The sequence below is a fragment of the Homo sapiens genome, chromosome 9 (genome assembly GCF_000001405.40).
Source record: "Homo sapiens chromosome 9, GRCh38.p14 Primary Assembly".
NCBI classification, from domain to species: Eukaryota; Metazoa; Chordata; class Mammalia; order Primates; family Hominidae; genus Homo; species Homo sapiens.
In genome coordinates, this window is record NC_000009.12 from 132,722,031 (window position 1) to 132,744,575 (window position 22,545).

Sequence of the window (22,545 nt, forward strand, 5' to 3'; positions counted from 1 at the left end):
AGCCTTGGCTTGGGGAGCCCCTTGGTCAGGGCTCCCTGAGGGGCCGCAGCTCTTCTCTCCTTCTTGTTGCCTGCAATGTGATGAGTGGGGGGCTGCGGGGTGGGGGGGACATGTTTCAGCCCTGTTTGTGTTACAGCTCTTTCAGTCCCGCCATTCGGCAGGTCCTGAGTTCTTGTCCTGCATCCAGGAAGAATGAGGTACAGGGACAACGGGAGGGTGAGCAAGGTGGAGAGAAGTTTCATTGAGCGACAGGACAGCTCTCAGGAGACCCGAAGTGGGTACCTCCTTTCTGCAGGCAGGTCGTCCCAACTCAGGAGACCTGAACTGGGTAGCTCCTTCCCACAGCTGGTCATCCCAATGTCTTGGTGAGTGTGACTGAGTCCCAGGTTTTATGGGCTTGGGCTTCAGAAGGGAAGAAGTAGATGCTGACTGATCCATGGGCAGCCATGGGTGGGTCTGGAAAAAGCACCCTAAGTTCTCACTCCAGGCCATGGACTCTACCAGAACTGAGCCTGGCCCACCACGCTTCAGGCCGTCCCTGGCTTGAAGGTGGGGCCTCACCAGGGACCTGCCCCTTTCCACCCAGGAGCCTGTCTGCCTCTTGCTGCCATTGATCATGTGCTCCATGGCACCCAGGCTCTTCCCGCTGAGGGGTGCCTACAGGCCAGTGCCCAGCTGCCCTCAGCTCCCCTCCAACCTCCCTCTCTGTGTTTCTAGGCAAAGTCCGAAGCAGCAGGGGGTTGGAGTGTCATTGTGCCCAGAGCACACACCCGGCCCTGGGTCGTGACAGCGCCCAGGCTTGGCCTCAACTTTGCCAGCTTCCGAGCCTGCGGTGGTGGTGATGTGGCTTCCCAGGCCCCAGGCAGGGATGCCTGGTCCGCGGCAGTTGCCTCCGTGGAAGGAGGCAGGGCTCCCACTGCTCCTTGGAGCCCACAGCCTCAGCCACACCTCCCCCACCGCCGCCAATGTCTTCGAAGCTGCAGCTCCAGATGGGCCACCGCGGCCATCATTTTCATGCCTCTGAACCCTCAAGTGTGCCTTAAAACTCAGCTCCCAAGTGACCTGCAACTCCTTAGGGGGGCTCCCGTGAGTCCTGATCTCATTTTAAATTCCCTCTCACCTCTCACCTGCTTTCCTGGGTGAGTCCTAACCTCTCTCTACGTTAGTCCTAATTGTACCACTGTGTTCTTAAAACTCATCTGACCCATCTCTAGGTTAGTCCTAACTGTACCACTGTACTCTTAAAACTCATCTGACCCCCAGGCTAAAGAGGTGAGCATGTTGGGAGAATAGAGGAATGTTTAATGGAACCCAAGGGCAGGGATGGATCTCAGGAATGATCAGAAATCAGATGTTCTGTCTGCTCTGTGAACTGTAAGCCTCTGGGGTTTGTTTTTTTGTTTGTTTTGTTTTGTTTTGAGATGGAGTCTCGCTCTGTCACCCAGGCTGGAGTTGGAGTGCAGAGGCGGGATCTCGGCTCACTGCAAGCTCCGCATCCCGGGTTCACGCCATTCTCCCACTTCAGCCTCCTGAGTAGCTGGGACTAAAGCATTTATTATCACTGAATAAATGATGTAATCACTAAGGATTTACATCCAAATGGCGTTTCATTTGAGATCCCTTCCAGGGACCAGGAATGCCAGGCAGAAGGGGAGAGCCACAGAGGGAAGTGACCAGAGCCAGGCCTGTGCTGGCCAGCTTTGAGGTCCGCTGTCTCCTCCAGCCTGGGGGCTGGTCCAAGGGGCAGAGCTTCATCACCCAGCATGGGGCATTTACAACCTGGATGTGCAGACTGTAACGGGGGCCTCCTGAGGCTGGATGGAGGCTTCCTGGTCAGGGGCACATTGTCAGAGAAAGTTCAGGGTACACACCCTCTTCCCCCCAGGGGTCTTTGGGAAGAACTGAGCCCTGGGCAGGGGAGGCCCCTGATGGAATTTCAGGAGGTGGTATCCAGTGGCTGAGCAGGGCAGGGAGGCAGTGTGGAGACTGAGCCGCCAGGCACAGGGAAGATGCAGGAGGCAGGACCTCTGGAGAAGGCCCCTCAGAGAGGGCCTGGGCTGGCCTGGCGTTCAGCCTGCCTGCAACCAGGGCAGAAGCAAAGGAGGTGGGCCCAGGAAGCTTGGCTCAGCTCATGGGAGCTGCTGGCTGGCCTGGTCCTTGGCTACCATGGTTGGTGCGAGGGTTAGATCTTTGCTGGAAGGGCTCTAGGCTACCCTAGATTAGAAGGGGCTTTAGCCATCAGGCCCAGACTCCCAAGCTTCCCACAGCCCCAGAGGCTAGAACCCAGGCTGGCCTGGGCTGCTGAGGCCAGGTAGGCAGAGCACAGGTGTTGCCCAGAGCACTGGGTTCAGGTCTAGCCTTGGATCCAGGTGACCTCAGGCATGGCACTTACCCTCTGTGGTCTCAGTGTCCTCGTGTCGCTGGGGGAACCCCCAAGCACCTACCTAATGAAGACCATTTGGAAGGTCAAAGGAAATAATGGGAGAAGAGGATCGATTGCTCCATCAGCCTAAGATGTCACTGTCGCTCTGGCGTCTGCTCCTGGGCCCTGTGTGCTCTGCAGACCCTAGAGAGACCATTTCTTTTCACTTCGTGGGACCTGAAGAAGCAAGTCTAAAGAAACAGCTACATCTGTCAAGAACTGTGCTATATCCATCAAACACTGCATTACATCTCTCTAGAGGCAGACAGCTACGCCTGTTATCTGGAGCCGCAAGTTGGCTATTTAAATTTGTGAAAATTAAATACAATGTTGAAACCATCCCCTCGGTTGCACTCGTCACTTTCAAGTGCCCAATAGCCACCCATGGCTAGTGGCTGCCACATTGGACAGGCAGATGGAGATCATGCTCTTCATTACCGAGAGCTGTGCTGGATGGCGCCGCCCAAGAGATGGGTGTTTCTTGGTTTTTTTGTTTTGTTTTGTTTTTTGAGATGGAGTCTCGCTCTGCCACCCAGGCTGGAGTGCAGTGGCGTAATCTTGGCTCACTGCAACCTCCGCCTCCCGGGTTCAAGCGATTCTCCTGCCTCAACCTCCTGAGTAACTGGGACTACAGGCTTGAGCCACCACGCCCAACTAATTTTTGTATTTTTAGTAGAGACGGGGTTTCACCATATTGGCCAGGCTGGTCTCGAACTCCTGACTTTGTGATCCACACGCCTCGGCCTCCTAAAGTGCTGGGATTATAGGCATGAGCCACTGCACCCGGCCAAGGTGGGTGTTTTAAAAGCTGTGTTTGTTGAGTGCTTCCAGAGCCCGGCACTGCGCTGAGATCTTCATCGGCATCACCACTCTTTATCCCACAGCCACCCTGCGAGGCGGCTACGGTTTTTAGCCTCAAGTTGGTTGTGAGAAGAGAGGCTCTGTGGGTTGGGACTCCAAGGACACACCATGCGTTGGTGCTGGAGCCACCATTTGTCCCAGGTCCGACTCCAGAGACCCGGCCTGCACTCCACTTTATCATCACTGTGGTCTTCACCTGTCCTGTGTCCCCAGACCCCTACACGAGGCCAACTTCCGGCCACCTCACCTTCAGGACGTACGAGACTGTATCCAGCAGGCTTTATTGGCTTTTTAGGGGAGCTGTGCCGAGGCTGGGGGGCTGGGGGCAGGGGATTAACTCTTTCCCTGGGGCAGCGCTCCTGGCTCTGAACCCATCAGGGGATTTTCTTGGGCAGGGGATTAATGATCCCACTCTCGATGTATTCGAAGACTGTGTATGGGTCCTGGTCCCCATTGAGGGTGATGGCCGACCCATACAACTGCTCCAAGTCAGCTGAGTTCCTGTAGAACAGGTCCATTTTCAGCTTGACCTGCTCTTCAGCATCCTTTGGGTTCTGCAGGAGGCGAGCCTGGATCTCCATGGTGGGAGGTGGCTTGTACATGAGGTGGTACCTGCAAGGGAGGAAGGAAAGCAGGTGACCCATGGCCTGGCCTGGAAGCAGGGGAGAAAGGGACCCTCTACTCTACTGTGGACCAATTTGGGGTGTCCTGGCCACCACCACCATCACCAGCCATTTACTACTGTGTACTGCTGTGTGCACACCTTTGACTGATGGGCCCTGGAGCTACAGAGAGATCCAAGATGTGCTCCCCGCTCAAGGGAGAGGGAGAGAGATCAGTGATAGGAGGACAGAATACAATCATATATGGGCAAATTCTTTCCTTCCTCCCTCCCTCCTTCCCTCCTTCCTTCCTTCCCTCCTTCCTTCCTATCTCCCCTCCCTCCCCTATCCTCCCTCTCTTCTCTCCCTCCCTCCCTCCCTTCCTTTCTCTTCTTCTTCCTTTTTCTTTTCTTTTTTGAGACAGGGTCTCACTCTCTTGCCCAGGCTGGAGTGCAGTGGCGCGATCTTCGCTCACCACAACCTCTGCCTCCCAGGCGTGCACCATTACTGCCCAGCTAATTTTTGTATTTTTAGTAGAGAAGGGGTTTCACCATGTTGGCCAAGCTGGTCTCAAACTCCTGACCTCAGGTGATCCACCTGCCTTGGCCTCCCAAAGTGCTGGGATTACAGGCGTGAGCCACCATGCCCGGCCTCTTGTTCCTTTTTCCTCCCTTCCATTCAATGTTTATCTGCACTGAGTCCTGTGTTAAATCTGCCACTGACAGTGCCATGGTAAGCAGGACAGGCGCTGGCTCTGTGCCTATGGAGCTCACAGTCAGATGAGGGAGTGGGACATTACAGCAACTGTGGAGATGGAAGGAAGTACTACAGCCGTTCACTGTTGGGAGAGACCGCAGGGACAGGGTGACATGAAGGCCACAGCACTTGAGATGGGAAAGCTAAAAACTCCCATGACAAATCAGGTCTACATTTTAGAAAAATCCCTGCACTTCCTTCCTGCCCGCCCCCCACCCCACTCCTGCGTCCCTACCAAGAAATGTGACCCTGACTGTCAGGAGAGATGACAACACCCGCCTCTTAGTGATTGTGGGGTTTCCATTGCATTTCAACATGAATGCAGTGATTGTATTTGGTCAGACTGCAGAATCAAACTCGGAATCTACCTCCTGTAACTATGGGAAGCCTCAAAGGCAACTTGTGCCCATGGGGATGTGTTTGTACAGCAACCACCACTGGGATGCATCGTGGCTCAAGGAAAGGCCAGTGAGGAAACAGGTGACGCCCACCCAAGGCTGCTGTTTCACATGCTGGGATTAAGCTGTTGATCCCAGGATAGAGTGGGTGAACATTTCACCATTGTGTTGCTTTAGACATAAATTTCCTGGTTATTCTTCCAGGCAAAGACGGTCAACAGATATTGCACAGAACAGCCAGTTGGATAAAGTCCATTTTGATAATCGTCCTTCAGTGGTCACCAGTGTTATCCCTGCAGTGTTTCCACCATGGCATTGGTCAGTCAGTTGGGTCTGGCCCCTGGCAGTCCCCAGACTGCCAACCACCAGGAACACAGCACAAACCTTTCCCCAGTGACTGGATCAATTCTTCTCAGAGTCAGCCGCTCCATGATGGAATCAAATGGCACATTCAGGAAAAACACCCTATAAGGAAATAAACCATATTAATAATGGTTTTTATTTCCTGTATTTTATGATGCTGTGACATCCTGGGGTCTTGAGAATCCTGGAGAGACTGCTCCTCCCAGGGCTGGCCGATTCCTAGAGCCAGCAAGCAATGTGCCTGCAAACCTGCCTTTCATGTACAACCCAACCACTCCAGAGCCTGTGTCCCCCCAACCGCCTCCTTCATCTGACTCTCACACCCCAAACCAATATTCTTCCTGCCCTAAATCACCTCAGGGCCGGGTGCCAGGCAACTAGAGACCATCCCTGTAGACCGAGCTTGGCAGAATTATTCAAACTGCCCAGTCCTATGCTCACTGTGACTTGTCTGCATTCTGGGACACGCTCTCCCCTCACTCCTGCTGCCACCTGACCAACCCTGGTGCCTCCCCAGGTCCTGCAGGGCATGGTGTGCCCCCCTTTTCCTGGGAGCTGTGAGTAACAAACTCTTCTTTCAGTGGGATTGACCTCTCTGTATCATCACCTGGTTACCTCTATACATTAGATTTTGGGTGCAATTAAGACAAGAACAAGCAGATGGTCATGGGGAGCAAACCCAGGCTGACTCTCGTCACCCCAGACGAGGGTGGGCATCATTTTCCACATGTGGGTGGAGCCACTGGAGCCACTGCTCAGGGCTCTGGGATACCACACTTGGAGGTCACCAGGGACAGATGCGGGACAGCAGGGCTCCCTGCAAGGACGCACTAGGCTCCCCTGGTTCAGGGATAGCTCTCAGCCCCCATCACTCCTGGGGTTGGGACTCCCGGGGATGGGGGTCATTGTTTGGGTGAGCTTTGGGGGAACATCTTGTTCTCTAGAGTCACACAGACTTGGGCTAGACTCTCACCTCCACTATGGACTTGCTGTGTGAGCTTGGGCCACTGACCCAGCCTCTGTCAGACTCAGTTACCCCAACTACAAAATGGGGCTAATTATAGTTCCCTGGTGTTGAAGATTTAACAAGATAAAGTGTGTGACAAACTCAGTGTGAGGTCTGCACAGACTCGGTACCCCAGCGTGGCAGCTGTTATAATTTAATCACCATTCCTAGATACCCTTCCTGGGAGTTCAGGCTCCCTGACTTCCCCTGTCCTCCTTGGAGAGGTGGAGGTTGGTTGTTCTCAGCTTTCTCACTTCCTCTTTCTCAAAGGAGCCCTGGACCCAAAGGAGCAGGACACTCCTGCTAATAAGCCCAAATCAGAACCCAGCAGAAGAGATGAAGGGCTCACTTCTCATGATTCTCAGACTGGGAGCACCAGGGAATTCATCTCTCAAACTCCTAGTTCCAATGGTTTCATCCCCACCCCCCTTTTTAGGGCAATGGAACACTTACTTTATATGAAACCTTTTTTTTTTTTCTTTTAGAGGCAGGGTCTCACATTGTTGCTCAGGCTGGAGTGCAGTGGAGTGACCTCCCAGGCTCAGTCAATCTGCCCATCTCAGCATCCTGAGTAGCTGGGACTACAGGTGTGCACCACCCCACCCAGATAAGTTTTGTTATCTATTTTTCAGAGATGGGGTCTCACTATGTTGCCCAGCTGTTCTGGAACTCCTGGGCTCAAGAAATCTGCCCCCTTCAGCCTCTCAAAGCGCTGGGATTACAGGCATGAGCCACCATATGTGGCCTATATAAGACCTTAGGAGAGTGGTTCTCCACCAGGGGTGATTTTGTTCCCCAGAAACCATCTGGCAAAATGTCTGGAGACATGTTTTATTTTCCCAGCTGGACAGTGATGCTGGAAAGCACCTTATAATGTACAGGACAGCACCCACCTCAAATAATGATCTGGCCCCAAATGTCAAGTGCATGGCTGAGGAGCCCTGCCTGGGACAGTGTGTGAACAAACAGAATGAGAAGAGGTGTGGCTGCTCTGGCTGGGAGAGGTGGGGCTGGGGATGAGCCAAGACCTAGGAGCTCCCACCCACAGAGCTAAGCCAGGTCTTCTAGCACTAAATCATCTGGTTCATTTTTAAAAAATAACTTCTAGAACATTCCATTGCTCACTATTTGCTCATTTGTCCTTTAATTCATTTATACATATATTTATCAAGTGCTGGCTGTGTCTCGGACACAGCAGGAAGTTCCAGTGTTTGCCAGCTCACCAGATGGAATTTAGGCACTAAATTTAAGAGTCTCCTCCTTGACGACATTGACAGGTCCTATGACTGGCATGTGCAGTTTCCACTGGGGCCAAAGTTGGTGACAACATCAACGACAACAACAAGAAAACATCAGTGACAACAAACACTCCCTGTGCACCCAAAGCCTTGTATTCATTTCACTTTCAAGAAAGTAAACTCAGGCCAGAAGCACCTCTACGTGCGGAGAAAACACACACAAATGAGACCTCCCTCCTTCCCTCCTAGCATGATCAAAAGACTAAATCAAAAGATTGATCGAAAGATTAAAATCCCAAATGTGGAGATCCTGAAAGCCGAATTCTGAGAGTCGTGTGTTTTCAGCGGTGCCCAGGCTAGCTGCGTCATGTTAGGCGGGACTATGACCTTGTTATTGTCTTGGAAACTAAATATGGTTTCAGGAGGGGCCTATGGGTGCCAAGCTGACAACACGGTGGGAGGCTTTTCTGTTCGTTTCAGACTGCCTCCTCCAAGTCAGTGAACAAAAGCAGCCTCTCACTGACATCCTTGGAATTCTCCAGATGTGTTGAGCGGGCTGCCAAGAGGCCGCGCTTTGGTAGGTCCAATGGGACACTGGTTCCCATGGGGCCCAGACCAGCCTTTGGGGCACAGGTGTCACCTGCTCTGTCCAGAGCAATAACAGCACGTGCCCAGGAAATGCGTGTGAAGGAATGAAGAAATGAACCAACCCATGGTATCCAGGCCTAGAATTCTTTTTAAAGTCTCTGCCCACTGCCTGTTTTTTTTTTTTTTTTCCATCCTTGCCAAAAAAACTCATCTAACTGGTAGAACAGAGAGTGATCTAAAACCCTAGGGTTGGGCGGGATCTTAGACATGTAATTCCCAGGGGCCAGTTGCATCAGAATCCCGTCAGGAGCCTTTGATGGTGGATGCCTATGCCCCTTGCCCAGAACTGCTCAGTCAGGGGCATTGGAGGGAGCCCAGTGTGGCCCTGGTCACTGGAATCCACTGCCTTGGAAAACACCTGGGTCAGGGATTCTGAGCCAGGCACCCCAAAGGTCCTGTGAGCCCCGGAAATTAGATACAAACTGCTGACTACATGGAGAATGTGTGCCCTACTGGGTGTTGGGTGGGCTCATCAGATTCTCAGAGGGGTGCTGGTCCTTAAACATCATTATGAATCTGAGCCAAAACCTCATGTTTTACAGTGAGATGAGGAACCTGGCCTCGGGAAAGCCGGGGCTGCCCCCGATCCTGCATGCTGTCCTCACACTCACTGTTCTCCTTGGCTTGTAGACGCCTTTTCATTCTCCTGATTCCCTCTGGGAGCCACCTTGGCCCCCTCGCCTCCCTGTGGCTTGGCTGGAACTACCGGGTATGGATCATAATCCTGAAAGACGGATCCCAAATGTCACAATCCCAAACGCCGAAATCCTGAAAGCTCAAAATCCCTAAAGTCTAAATTCTAATGTCTAAAATCCTGAAAATCACAATTTCAAAAGATTAAAATCCTAAATGTGGAAATCCTGAAAGCCGAATTCCGAGTGATTTGTGTGTTTTCAGCAGTGCCCAGGCTAGCTGCATCATCTTGGAAACTAAGTATGGTGTCAGGAGGTGGCTATGGGTGCCAAGTTGACAATAGGTGGACTTGTGGACTTAATTTTATGTGTCACCTTGACTGGATGAAGGAGCTCCTAGCAACGTGGTAAAGGATTCTTTTGGGCGTGTCTGTGCAGGTGTCTCCAGAGGAGAGGGCTGTGAGTCTGAGAGGGTGGGTGGGGAAGCCCTGCCCTGCCCTCAGTGTTGGCACACCCTGTGTAATCAGCCAGGGTTCTGGAGAGAACCAATACAGAAGGCGAACTGGTCTCTCTCTGAGGGCTGGACAGGCTGTGCTTCTGCTGCTGTGGACATCAGAAATTTGATTTCATGAAAGGGCTTATCACAAGGCTGAGTGTGTGTGAGCACTGCATATGGACATGGAAAGTTTAAAACTTCCTCAGTAAATGACGAGATGTCCTATTTATGCAACTGCATTTGAGAAGGATAAAGTTTCTTGAGAGCTCAGCTCTCTGGATGACTACATACGTGGTGCTGACCCATCTGGGTTTTTGGTCAATCCTGTCAAAAGACTCAGGTTGTGCTGAGGTGGGAGGATCCCTTGAGCCCAGGAGTTCAAGGCCAGCCTGGGCAACATTGCGAGACCCCGTCTCTGAAAAACAAAACAAAAAACAAAGGTAGGTGGTCTGTCATGGTATTTCAGATGACCACAGTTATAAAGCTGGGTTCCCACAATGACCAACCATAGTAATATGCATTTATATATTTCATTTTTAACCTATTTCTTTATGAAGATGGTTCATCTGCTCAAAACTGTAATACCCGTGTGATAGTTATTAGTGTACCTGAGTGTTTATGCTCAGTGTACCTGAGTTATTATGGCCAATTTTATTGTGTAAATTGGCCTACAAAGTGCTCTGTGGTGTTTTTAATATCTCAAAAAAAATCCCCTTTTCTATATGTAAATAAACATCATTTAAATAATTAAACAATGTTTTTTTCCACAATTATATTTTTGGGATTTTGATCTTTCAGCATTGTGATTTTCAGAATTTTAGACATTAGGGATTTCTGACCTTTCAGGGTTTTAACATTTGGGATTATGGCATTCAGGATTGTATCTTCTATGGCATTCAGGATTATATCTTCTATGGCATTCAGGATTATATCTTCTATGGCATTCAGGATTATATCTTTCAGGATTATGACCGGTTCCTGAACTAGTTTGCCCCAGGGCTGCAGGGCTGGGCCTGAGGGAGGCCCAGAGGTCACCAGTCTGAGTGCTGGCTCCTCCAGGCCACAGGAATTTGTTTAGAATGCAAGGCTGATCCAAGCCGGGTCTATGAGAAGCCACCCCAGGGCTTGCCGGAGAGAAATGAGCCTCATTTCTGATGAAGCTGAAAAGGCAATGAAGTGGAAGCCCGGGGTTCCCTGGGGCCTGCACCCAAAGAGAGCGTAACTGAGAATGAAGTTCACGCCACGAGAGCAGAAAGATGGTGAGAGACATTGTTTGGGGCCCTGGTTCAAGCTGTGCCTGTAGCCAGCCTCAGGCACATGAATATGTATATATTCATGTATGTATGAATATATACACCTCTTCTCTTGCCTAGGCTGGGTTTCCTGCAACTGTTACCCAAAGGACACATCATATATCCAGTTTTTCCAGTGCCACTTGCTTCTAGAAAATGTGTGAACTTAAAACAACTATGAGTCCCTGAGCCACAATCTCTTTCTCCTTCGAGGCCAGCTTCTCCCGTGGCCTTGCTTCTCTCTCTCTCACTTTGCCCATGCTGTTCGCTGAGCTTTGCTTCTGCCCAGTCGCCAGGAAGCTCCTCACTGGTGCCTGATGAAAACTGCAGCTGCCCCTCCAGGAAGCGAGCCCAACTGTTTCCCCAGCAGCCTGGAGCGGCTGGGAGCCATGAAAAGCCCATGAAAAGCCACGTCCTCCTTGCACATGTGCTTGATAATGACTTCCATTCACAACGTGCTGCAAAATAACAGCCACTAAAAAAAAAAAACATGCGAGATCGGGGAGTGTGTAAACACAGGGAGTGCAGGTGTCGCAGCGGCTTTCATCCCTGACGCTGTGAACACGCGGCCCCCCTTGCACCCCCGGTACTGCAAGGCCCAACGGCAACACCAAAACACGGCTGTCACGGCGGCTGGCGGCTCTGGATGCCGACGCCAGTAGAAAGGAAGCCGGTTTGGAAATCCCTGATAATTGAAGCTGCTTCATAAACAAGCCCCATTTGAAAGACTTTTAACCCAGCGTACCAAGACTGCTTGTCGTCATTCAAGGGAATGGCTTGTGAAAGGCTGGCAAGATGTGACGCACAAGGACACCAAATGGGTGCTTGGAGCACGCTGCTGGGGACAGCCTCGCTGCGGAGGGCCCTGCTCCATGCTGGAAGCTTCTGATTATCCTGGCTCATTGCGCCCAATGTGAGGGCCAGGTGGCAGGGTGCAGGGGCAGCCCAGGCCACGCTGCTGAGAGCTACTGCTCTGTGCATGCCACCAGCCACTGGTTTTTTGTTTTCTGCTGTTTATTACAGAGCCAGGAAAGGGAGAAAGGTGAAAGCAAAGAATACTCAAAACAGGGTGTGCTGGGCAGACCCTCCTGGTGTGGGTGAGGGTAGTGGGTGCCTGGACTGGCCAGGGGCGGGCACTCTACCTGCCCCTGGGATTGCAGAACTTCAGGCTGGTGGATGCTTCCGGAAGGGAGGTGGAAGGTGTTTTGGGAGGCCTCTAATCCCTGCTCCAGGTGGGCACCCTGGATCAGCTGCCTCAGCACCTCCCCAGAGCTTATTAACGACACAGATCTCAAGCCCCACTGCCCACCCACTGGAGTCCATGTTTTAACAAGATCCTCAGTGATTTGTAGGCACATTAAGGTTGGAGAAGGGCCACTCTGACCCGTGCTTCCAAGATTTGTCTGGTGTTGAGAATTATCTGGAAGGCTTGCGTAAAATACAGATTGCAGGCACCCCTTCCCCCAAGAGCTACTGAACCAAAACCTCCAGGTGAGGGGCTGGGAGACCTGCATTCGTAAGTCAGAAGCTCGGGTGATGTTCATGCCCAGGCAGGTATGGGAGCCATGGCTCTAATCCATGGTCTCATCCTTGGCCGCACCCTGAAGCCAACAAGAGCTTTGAGCGTACTGAGGCCTGGGCACCACTCCCGGAGATTCTGGTATACTTGGTCCAGGGTGAGGCCTGAAAATGGGATTTTTACAAGCTCCTCACTGGGTATGGTACTCACGCCTGTAACCCCAGCACTGTGGAAGGCTGACACAGGAGCATCGCTTGAGCTCAGGAGTTCAAGACCAACCTGGGCAACACAGTGAGACCCCATCTCTACAAAAAGTTTTTAAAAATTAGCCCAGTGTGGTGGCGCACCGATAGTTCTGGCTACTTGGGAGGCTGAGGTGGGAGTGTCGCTTGAGCCCAGGAGTTTGAGGCTGCAGTGAGCTACAATCACACCACTGTACTCCGGCCTGGGTGACAGAGAAAGACCCTGTCTAAATACATAAATAGGTTGGGCACGGTGGCTCACACCTGTAATCCCAATAGTTTGGCAGGCTGAGATGGACGGATCACCTGAGGTCAAGAGTTTGAGACCAGACTGGCCAGCATGGTGAAACCCCATCTCTACTAAAAAATACAAAAATTAGCTAGGCATGGTGGCATGCGCCTGTAGTCCCAGCTACTCAGGAGACTGAAGCACGAGAATCGCTTGAACCCGAGAGGTGGAGGTTGCAGTGAGTGGAGATCGCGCCACTGCACTCCAGCCTGGGCGACAAAGCAAGACTCCATCTCTAAATAACTAACTAAATGAAAGCTCCTTGGGTGGCTGCAATGTGCAGCCAGGGTTGAGCACCACTGCCCTGATTCAATCTACTTAGTCTACTGGGTCCCAGAGAGCTGAGGGGTTCATACTCTGTCACTCTGAGCATTGGTGTCAGGTATCCAATGACAACTGGGATCCCCTGACCCACCCTGGTAACGCCCACTCTAGCCACACTGCCTGAGATTCTGTTTGAAGAACACAGGAAGCCTCCTTCCTCAATGACCTTGAAGCTCATCCCCTGCTTTCATCACTAGAAACTGAGGGTGAAATTTACTCTGGATCCATGGACGGATTGGGTAAGTTGAGAGATACGATGTACAATAACTGACTGCAAATATGATGCCCGGTTCTGCCCAGAGGCAGGGGCCTGACTGTGTTGGCTTCTTGATCTTAACCAATAAGCCTCCATGATTGCAAAACCCTACACAAAGCAATATGACATAACCACAGGGAGATACTACTTCACACTCAGTAGAATGACTATTACACATTTAAAAAAAAAACCCATAAAGTAAGTGTTGGCTAGACTGTAGAGAGATTGGAGCTCTTGCACATTGCTGCTGGAAATATAGCATGGTGCACCTCCTGTGGAAAATGCTATGCTGGCTCCTCGAAAAATTAAACATAGACCCAGCAGTACCACTTCGGAGGATATAACCAAAAGAACCGAAAGCAGGGACTTGAACAGATATTTGTACACCAGTGTTCTTAGCAGCATGATTCGCAACAGCCAAAAGGTGAAAACAACCCAACTGTTCATCAATAGATGAATGGATAAACAAAATGTGGTCTATACAGTCATGCGTTGCTTAATAACAGGGACACGTTCTGAGAAATGTGTTGTTTTGTGAACACCATGGAGTGCACTTACTCATACCTAGTTGGTATAGCCTACCACACAACTAGGCTGCAGTCCTGTACAGCATGTTACCGCACTGAATACTGTAGGCAATTATAATGCAATGGTAAGTACTTGTGTATCCACACATACCTAAACATAGAAAAGGCACAGTAAAAATAGGGTATCAGAATCTTATGGGACCACCATTGTATGTGTGGTCTGTCATTGACCAAAATGTCGTTATGCAGTGCATGACTGTACATACGATGAAATACTATTCAGTCTTTTTTTTTTTTTTTTTGAGACGAAGTCTCGCTCTTGTCCCCTAGTCTGGAGTGGAATGGCGCAATCTTGGCTCACTGCAACCTCCGCCTCCCGGATTCAAGCAATTCTCCTGCCTCAGCCTCCCGAGTAGCTGGGATTACAGGTGTGTACCACCATGCCCAGCTAATTTTTTGTATTTTTAGTAGAGACGGGGATCCACCATGTTGGCCAGGCTGGTCTCAAACTCCTGACCTCAGGTGATCCGCCCACCTCGGCCTCCCAAAGTGTTGGGGTTACAGGCGTGAGCCACTGTGCCTGGCCAATCAGTCTTAAAAAGGAATAAAATTTGGGCTGGGCGCGGTGGCTCACACCTGTAATCCCAGCACTTTGGGAGGCCGAGGTGGGCGGATCACAAGCTCAGGAGATCGAGACCACAGTGAAACCCCGTCTCTACTAAAAATACAAAACATTAGCCAGGCATGGTGGTGGGCGCCCGTAGTCCCAGCTACTCCGGAGGCTGAAGCAGGAGAATGGCGTGAACCCGGGAGGCGAAGCTTGAAGTGAGCAGAGGTTGCGCCACTGCACTCCAGCCTGGGTGACAGAGTGAGAATCCATCTCAAAAAAAAAAAAAAAAAAGGCATAAAATTTTGACACATGCTAAAACCTGGATGAACCTTGAAGACATTATGCTAAGTAAAATAAGACAGATACAAAAGGACAAACATTGTATGACTCCACTTTTTGAGGTCCCTAGGGTAGTCAAATTCATACAGACAGAAAGTAGAATGGGGCTTCCAGGGGCAGGGGGAAGGGGAAATTGGGAATTAGTGTTTTAATGAGTCTAGAGTTTCAGTTTGGGATGACAAAAAAGTTCTGGAGATGAGCGGTGGTGATGTTTGTACAACAATGTGAAGGTACTTAATGCTACTAAACTTACACTTAAAGATGGTCAAAATAGTAAACTTTATGTTATATATATTTAACACACACACACACACAAACACAAGTAGTTAGTAGACATTACAATGAAGGCAACTGGGGGAGAGAAGTTCTCTGACCTTGAATAAACTTACAATTTAATGAGGTTCTGAATACATGCATGTATACATATAAACAGATGGACAAAACAATGAACCATATGACAGTATTAATTCTACACAAACTATAATGCAAATACTACATAAACTCTTTCAGAAAATAGAGGAAGGAATACTGATTTTATTCGTCAGCTTTTCCTTGATACCAAAAACCAGACAAAGACATTAAAACTACAGACCAACATCCCTCATAAACACAAATGCAAAAATCCTCAGCAGAATATTAGGAAATTTAATTAATCTAGCATTACATAAAAAGAATAATACATCACAACCAAGTGGGATTCAGCCTGTGAATGGAAAGCTAACATTCAAAAGTCAATCAATAAGTAATTGACTGTATCATTAGAAGAAAAAGTTTATAATCATCTCAACAGATGTGGAAAAAGATCTGACAAAATTTTACACCAATTCCTAACAAAAACTCTCAGCAAACTAGAAATAGAAGGGAAAGTCCTCAACCCAATAAAGGGCATTTACTTAAAAACTATAGTTAAGATCATACTTAATGCCCAAAGACTAAACACTTTCTCCCTAAAATTGAGAACAAGGCAAGAATGTCCACTCTCACTTCTACTAGTCATCATCAAACTGTGAGTCCTGGATTGTACAATAAGACCAGAAAAGGATACAACAAGCAAATAAATTGAAAACACTCCACCTCTGAGTACCCTGGGTGTGGGCGGTCTGAGCACAGGTGCTGGGACAGCCTTGTGGGCGCTGAGTCCTTCATTCCTGGCATGTGCTAAGTGCTAAATAAATATTTAGCACAAGATTTCCCATTGCTGAATTACTTTTTTTTTTTTTTGAGACAGAGTCTCACTCTGTCGCCCAGGCTGCAGTGCAGTGGCACAATCTCGGCTCACTGCAACCTCCGCCTCCCGGGTTCAAGTGATTCTCCTGCCTCAGCCTCCCGAGTAGCTGTGACTACAGGCGTGTGCCACCACGCCCGGCTAATTTTTTGTATTTTTAGTAGAGATGAGGTTTTACTGTGTTAGCCAGGATGATCTCGATTTCCTGACCTCGTGATCTGCCCGCCTCAGCCTCCCAAAGTGCTGGGATTACAGACGTGAGCCACCGCACCTGGCCTAAGTATCTTAACATGGGCAGTTTTCACATCTTCAAGTTTATTCCCAATGACTGTTCAACTCTTCTTTTTTTTTAATTTAAAAAAGTTTTAAAACCAAGTGCCTCCTTTTCTGTTGATCGGTACAATTTGATCACAATAAATATGTCCTTTATAGCTCAGGGTAAATTCAAACATTCATAAGAATGCAAATAATACTTTGTTCAGACCACAGTTTGCTGCTCTAATGAAACTATTGTCCATTTCTAGCTAGACTGGGATGGGAGGGGAAGTTCAGGGATGTTTCCCTTGGGCAACATCTCGTTTGAGGCAAGGATAGTTTCCAAAGGAAGTAATCCAGGAGATACACTTGGTCATTGGTGGACACTATTACAACAAACAACGCAGAAATATGTTCATGACTTTTTTTTTTTTTTTTTTTGAGACAGGGTCTCACTCTGCCCCCCCAGGCTGGAGTGCAGTGGAGCCATCATGACTGGCTGCAGCCTCTATCTCCCGGGCTCAAGTGATCCTTCCATTTCAGTCCCCCAAGTAGCTGGGACCACAGGTTTGTGTACCACACCCAGCTAATTTTTTAATTTTTAATTTTGTAGAGACTTTTCTTATGTTGCCCAGGCTGGTCTTGAATTCCTGGGCTGAAGTGACCCTCCAACCTCAGCCTCCCAAAGTGCTGGGATTATAGGCATGAGCCACCATGCCTGGCCTGACATATTGTTAATTTAAAAAATCAGGTTATATATCAGGTAATACTGTTTGATCCCACTAAAAAAATGTATAGAAAAGAAAAAGACTGCAACATTAAGAATGATTATTTCTGGGCTGGGCGTGGTGGCTCATACCTATAATCCCAGCACTTTGGGAGGCCGAGGCAGGTGGATTACCTGAGATTAGGAGTTTGAGACCAGCCTGGCCAAGACGGTGAGACCCCGTCTCTACTAAAGATAAGCCAGGTGTGATGGCAGATGCCTGTAATCCCAGCTACTTGGGAGACTGAGGCAGGAGAATCGCTTGAACCTGGGAAGCAGAGGTTGCGGTGAGCTGAGATCATGTCACTGCATTCCAGCCTGGGCAACAGAGAGTGACTCTGTCTCAAAAAAAAAAAAAAAAAAAAAAAAAAAAAAAAAAAAAAAAGATTGTTCCTGCTTATCTTTCTCTTTTTAGCTCCATATATTTAAAAAACTTTTTACAACATATATGATTTTTGTAAAGAGAAATAAGCCAGAGTTGTTTTTGTTTTGTTTTGTTTTTTAAGTCAACTTCAAGCCAGGCACAGTGGCTCATGCCTATAATCCCAGCTACTTGGGAGGCTGAGGCAGGAGGGCTTCTTGAGGCCAGAAGTTTGAGGCCAGCCTGAGCAACACAGTGAGACCCTCTCACTAAAAACAATTAAAATAAAATAAAAAGTCAACTTCTACTAACATGGAAGTCAGGAAGAAAAGAGAAATGCTCTGTGTACCAACAGCAACAGCCCTGCCTTCTATAAACTAGGTCCAGGCCCCAAGGGGGAGGAAGGCAGGTTGATTGGGGGCGGGGGTGTTATAAAGTAGTGGCAGAACAAGGCCCTTACCTTGTGGGGCAAAGTACGCATTCTTGTTCTGTTCCCACACAGTGGCATGCTGGTAAACCAGCTTTTAGCAGTGAGGAGGGACGACCCCTGATTTGTAGCATTTGCCAATATCCCCATCTAGTAAATTTCAAGCTGCCAACATGGCGTCCTTAAATGCGGAAGAGAAGTGCACATTCAGACCTCAGCAGCTGGTGCAGCCCAGTTCTAGCACGCCCCTGCCACAGCAGCCCCCTAAGGCGGAGCACGGATTACTGTTCCCATTTTACCAACACGGGTACTGGTCAGACAGCCACTTTTTATCAGGCACTGTGTTTAAAGCCAGGTGATGTAAATGTCTGGTTTTATGTAATCCTCACAACACCCAAATGAGGTCTGGGTACTGGATTATGCTTACTTTTCACATCAGCAAACAAATGAGGCCTAGAAAGATCACATGCCTGCACAAGGTTATTTGGCTAAAAAGAGGCAGAGACTTGAACCCAGGACTGTCTGCTCCCAAGTTCGTGCCCATAACCACATGGGGGTACCAGTTCTCTCCATCACGGAGCTCATCTTGCACTTAGTGGCCGTGTGTGGTGGGCTGAGTTACTTGCTTTGAGCCTTCTCCAGAGGTGTGAGACATGGAATAGACATTTCTAGGGAGGTGAGAGGGAAGAAGTAAGGTTCCCGACTACGCAGTGGAATGAGCAGCTGGAATGGGTGGGACTTGGCTCTGGTCGGCTCCCCGTTTGGATTTGGGGATGATGAACAGAGACCTGTGCACCTCTGGCCTCCTCCAGTCTTAGAGCTGAGCACCCCCCCGCCCCACTCTGGGGCTGCATCCCTCACCTGCACGGTGGGCCCAGGCGAGGAACCCACCCAGGCCTTGGAAAGTACAGTTGATGAACGGTCATCTTCATCTCCAGGGCTGCACTCCTCATCAGATGCATTTGGCTCCTTCGCTGATGGATGGGGATGCAGAAGAGTTGACCAATCCTAGTGTCCAGAAGACTTCTTTGAGGTGGCATCTGGTGTGTTTGTCCTACTCTCAGAAGATGGTGGGCCTGGGGGTCCTATCCCCAGTCAGGACCCTCGCTATCATCTGCCTGTTCCCAAGTGGCACCTGGCCACCCAGCCTTCCTGCCACATGGTGGGAGTGCCTTTTCCCCCCATTTCCTGGGGGCACCCTGGGCAAGCTGAATCACCCACGGCAAGCCCAGCCAGTCTGTGCCAGGTCACGGCACCATCTGCACCAGCAGCTCTCAGGTGCAGGTATGGGGCACAGGAGCACACTTTAAAAACTCTGGCCGAGTCTTTTTCCTGGTTCCAGGCAGGGCCTGTGTCCGAATCCCCCCGACACTGCTCCTTCATGCCTGTGCACACTTGGAAGTTAGCAGTCAGTGCAGACAAAGTTCCCGCATGCTCCTGGAAACCCACCATCTTCACTGGGCACTGCACCACGCCTTCTACCTGGTACTCCGAGCTCTAACAAGCACTTAGCTTGACAGTGGGAACACTGATCAACACTGAAGTCGCTCTGTTTGGACGCCAGTCAAGATCCATTGGTCAGCAACAGCCCCCCAAAAACAGCTGGGTTGGTGAACATTTCCTCCGTGTCCTGAGGTGTGGCCGATGCCAAGAGGCCCCACTCAGATCCCCCTTCCAGAAAGAGCTCAGCTGTAAGGGGTGGGTCACCGCAGCCTCCAACTGAAGCATCGTGAGGGTCTTGAGCCCTAGTTTTCGTTTTTGTTTTTGTTTTGACATCTTTACTGAGCTATAATTCACCCCTGTAATGAGTCTAATTCAATGGATTTAGTATATTCAGAGTTGTGCCATCATCAACACAATCTAAGTATGGAACATTTTCATCACTCCAAAAGGCAACCCTGTACCCATGAACAGTCACTTCCCCTTCCCCAGCTCCCAGCCCTAAGCAAGCACTGATGGACTTTCTGTCTCTACGGATTTTCCTATTCTGCACATTTCACAAGACATGGCTCTCCAAGTCTCCACCTAGGATAAAAAGAAAGAGGACTTCACAAGATTGTCTTAAGGATTAAATGAGATGACCCATAGAAAGCACTTAACACATAATTACATAGAATATCCACGAGGGCCAATGTGCCAGGCTGCTTTCACTCAGCCTGATGTTTTCAAGGTTCATCCAGACTGTCGCATGGATCAGAACTTCATTCCTCGTGCAGCCAAACAGTGCTCCATTCTTTGGATCTATCACATTTTGTTTATGCATCCACGAGTTGATGGACTTGGACTTTTTTTTTTTTTTTTTTTGAGAGAGATAGAGTCTCATTCTGTTGCTCAGGCTGGAGTGTAATGACACAATCACAGCTCACTGCAGCTTCGACCTTCCGGGCTCAAGCGATCCTCCCACTTCAGCCTCCCTAACAGCTAGGACTACAGCACATGCCACTACTCCCAGCTAATTTTTAAAAACATTTTTTGTAGAGACAGGGTCTCACCATATTGCCCAGGTTGGTCTTTTGGGCTCAAGTAATCCACCCACCGTGGCCTCCCAAAGTACTGGGATTACAGGCGTGAGCCACGGTGCTAGCCAACCAATGGATTTTTAACCCAAGCTTTTGAACCAAGGTCACACTCTGGGGTGACCTTTGGCCAAAAACTAAGCATGACAGGGGTACCAGCACCTGGCATTTCTGCCCCTCGCAGCCCTCTGAGGGGCTGTGCCAGGTCTGCGTCATGATCCATGGCTCCTCACCCACCTTACTTTGGGCTCTTTTCCTGGTACAGGTGTGCCTTCCCCATTAACTCCTCTTCACTCCTGACCCTGTCTCAGCATCTGCTTCCCGAGATTGCATCCTGACAAGACACTTAATATGTAATAACAACACAGAACCCACGTGGGCCCACACACCAGCACTCTTCTATTAGCCTCCGTGAGGCCACTTCATCCTCATCACAAGCTTGAGAGGCGGGGGTGTCATTAGAACAGATGAGGGAACCGAGGGACAGAGGAGTTCAGCAACCAATCCAAGTTCCCCCGCCAGAAGCGATGGAGCCACGACTCAACCCAGGTGAATTCTCCAGTGTCGGTGCCCTTGGTCACAGCACTCCATTGTGATTCCGCTGAAGGAACAAGGGGAGGAGGGGGGCCTGGCCTCCCACTGCTCAGCTCAAGCCACAAGCCCTGGCTGCGTGTGTAGCTTTAGCTCCCCGGGGCTGTGCTGTGAGGCCCAGGTTCAGAGCCAGCTGCAGTCAATGTCATCTTTCTCCACCTGCAACAGATCAGCTGGAAGAGATTCGAGGCAGGAAACACAGCAGATGCTCTGCCATGGGGGCCCACCCACGTGCCTCTGCTCGCGACCTGACCTGCCGTCGGGCGGCCCCACAGGCACGGGTCTGAGAGCAGGGTGTGCAGATCCAGGATCCCTGGGTCACCTGGGGGACAAGTGCATCTCCTCGTCACTGGTCACTGGAAACAGGGCAGTGGAGACACGGGTAGGTGTGCTAATTTTGAGGTTTCCTTTCTCAGAGTCAGTCTCCATCAGTGACAACTGCTGCTTTAAAATCTGTCTCTGGTGAAAAGTTACATAAGCACATTCCAGTGTTCCTCTGCCACAGCACTGTCGCTACCCACCGCCAGATTCCCCAGCCTTGACTTCTCTGCTATGTATGTACCTATCTATATAAACGTGCTGCAGAGAAACCTGTCTTTTAACCTTTTCTGCAGCTGGAGCTTTTCCATGAATCCCTCTGTCTACAAGTGTTTTACTTCTTGGTTTTAATTTTAATCCTTTGCCTTCCATTAATCAGCACCAAAACTGTTTTATTGATATTTCCTACCTGCCGGGCACTGGTAGTAAGCACGTTACATGCACGTGCTATCTTATTTAATCCTCGTGAGAAGTACACGACCCCGGTACTGTGATCGTGCCCATTTCGAGGGTGCAAAGACTCGGGCTCTGAGAGGTGAAGTGTTGCCTCCAGGCTGGACTCCAGGGCCATCTGAATCTAGGACACTCCGTTGCTGCTCCGCTAAGTTCTCAGATGTAAAATAATCGTGCTTTGTTCCCTGAAGTTGGCGGAGCCTTCCTGAAATCTCCAGTGAGGATCAGGAGAGGGACAGTGAACCTGCCGGAACTCAAGCCAGCTAGCGGGAGGGACGGGGGTTGACCCTGCTTATGTGCCCCCACTCTCCCGGTGTGCTAGACCCCACCTCAGACTCCTCTGTGTCCCCCGTTACGTAGGGGGTGTGCCGGCTCACACCCTCCAGTGTGCCTCACTAAGGACACAGGGCACAGCTGCCTCTCAGGACTAAAGATAAATTCCACAGATTCCAAAAGACCCTTCGTCCCCAATCACAGCTGCCTTGCCTAAAGAATCCACCACCGTGGTTGTTAAACCCACACTTTAATTACTCCAAAATTATGTTAAATCCTTGCATAAATATTGCAGTGGCATCTTCTGAAGAATTTCATTACAGTAAGTTGGGTTGCTGCCAGAGCTCTCCACTAAAAAGTAACAGGAGAATAGACACGTGCCAAAAAAAAAAAAAAAAGGATAGATGCTGTTTTCAAAATAAAAAGGCAAGGAGGTCATCCTCGGTCAGATCACGCAGGTGTCAAAGAGAAACGGTCTCATGATAGCAGAAATCTCCCATTTTACAGACCGAAGGGGAAAAACATACCCTTTAGCCCTCT

General features: G+C 49.8%; 1 protein-coding gene across 12 annotated transcripts in view, besides 4 other annotated features; it reads right to left on the reverse strand.

Annotated features, from left to right (window-relative positions):
* Positions 347-853: an enhancer, noted in NCBI's record as "H3K27ac-H3K4me1 hESC enhancer chr9:135597764-135598270 (GRCh37/hg19 assembly coordinates)". NCBI's record gives its function as "activates a minimal SCP1, AML or CMV promoter by ChIP-STARR-seq in naive H9 embryonic stem cells {active_cell/tissue: H9 hESC(naive)}" and the evidence as "EXISTENCE:reporter gene assay evidence [ECO:0000049][PMID:30033119]".
* Positions 1,868-2,373: an enhancer, noted in NCBI's record as "H3K4me1 hESC enhancer chr9:135599285-135599790 (GRCh37/hg19 assembly coordinates)". NCBI's record gives its function as "activates a minimal SCP1, AML or CMV promoter by ChIP-STARR-seq in primed H9 embryonic stem cells {active_cell/tissue: H9 hESC(primed)}" and the evidence as "EXISTENCE:reporter gene assay evidence [ECO:0000049][PMID:30033119]".
* Positions 3,548-22,545, reverse strand: part of AK8 (adenylate kinase 8) — a 153,469-nt gene continuing 134,471 nt past the window's right edge. For 11 of the 12 annotated variants that reach the window (NM_001371771.1, NM_001371773.1, NM_001371772.1 and 8 more), the window contains 2 exons: positions 5,424-5,504; positions 3,548-3,895 (listed from right to left, as the gene is read on the reverse strand). In NM_001371771.1, the coding sequence (NP_001358700.1) occupies positions 3,658-3,895; positions 5,424-5,504 (319 nt within the window). In that variant the 3' untranslated portion in view covers positions 3,548-3,657. Of the gene's footprint in view, positions 3,896-5,422; positions 5,505-22,545 lie in introns of those variants that run through there. The other variant, XM_047422822.1, reaches the window with a different exon arrangement.
* Positions 11,081-11,581: an enhancer, noted in NCBI's record as "H3K4me1 hESC enhancer chr9:135608498-135608998 (GRCh37/hg19 assembly coordinates)". NCBI's record gives its function as "activates a minimal SCP1, AML or CMV promoter by ChIP-STARR-seq in naive H9 embryonic stem cells {active_cell/tissue: H9 hESC(naive)}" and the evidence as "EXISTENCE:reporter gene assay evidence [ECO:0000049][PMID:30033119]".
* Positions 11,582-12,082: an enhancer, noted in NCBI's record as "H3K4me1 hESC enhancer chr9:135608999-135609499 (GRCh37/hg19 assembly coordinates)". NCBI's record gives its function as "activates a minimal SCP1, AML or CMV promoter by ChIP-STARR-seq in naive H9 embryonic stem cells {active_cell/tissue: H9 hESC(naive)}" and the evidence as "EXISTENCE:reporter gene assay evidence [ECO:0000049][PMID:30033119]".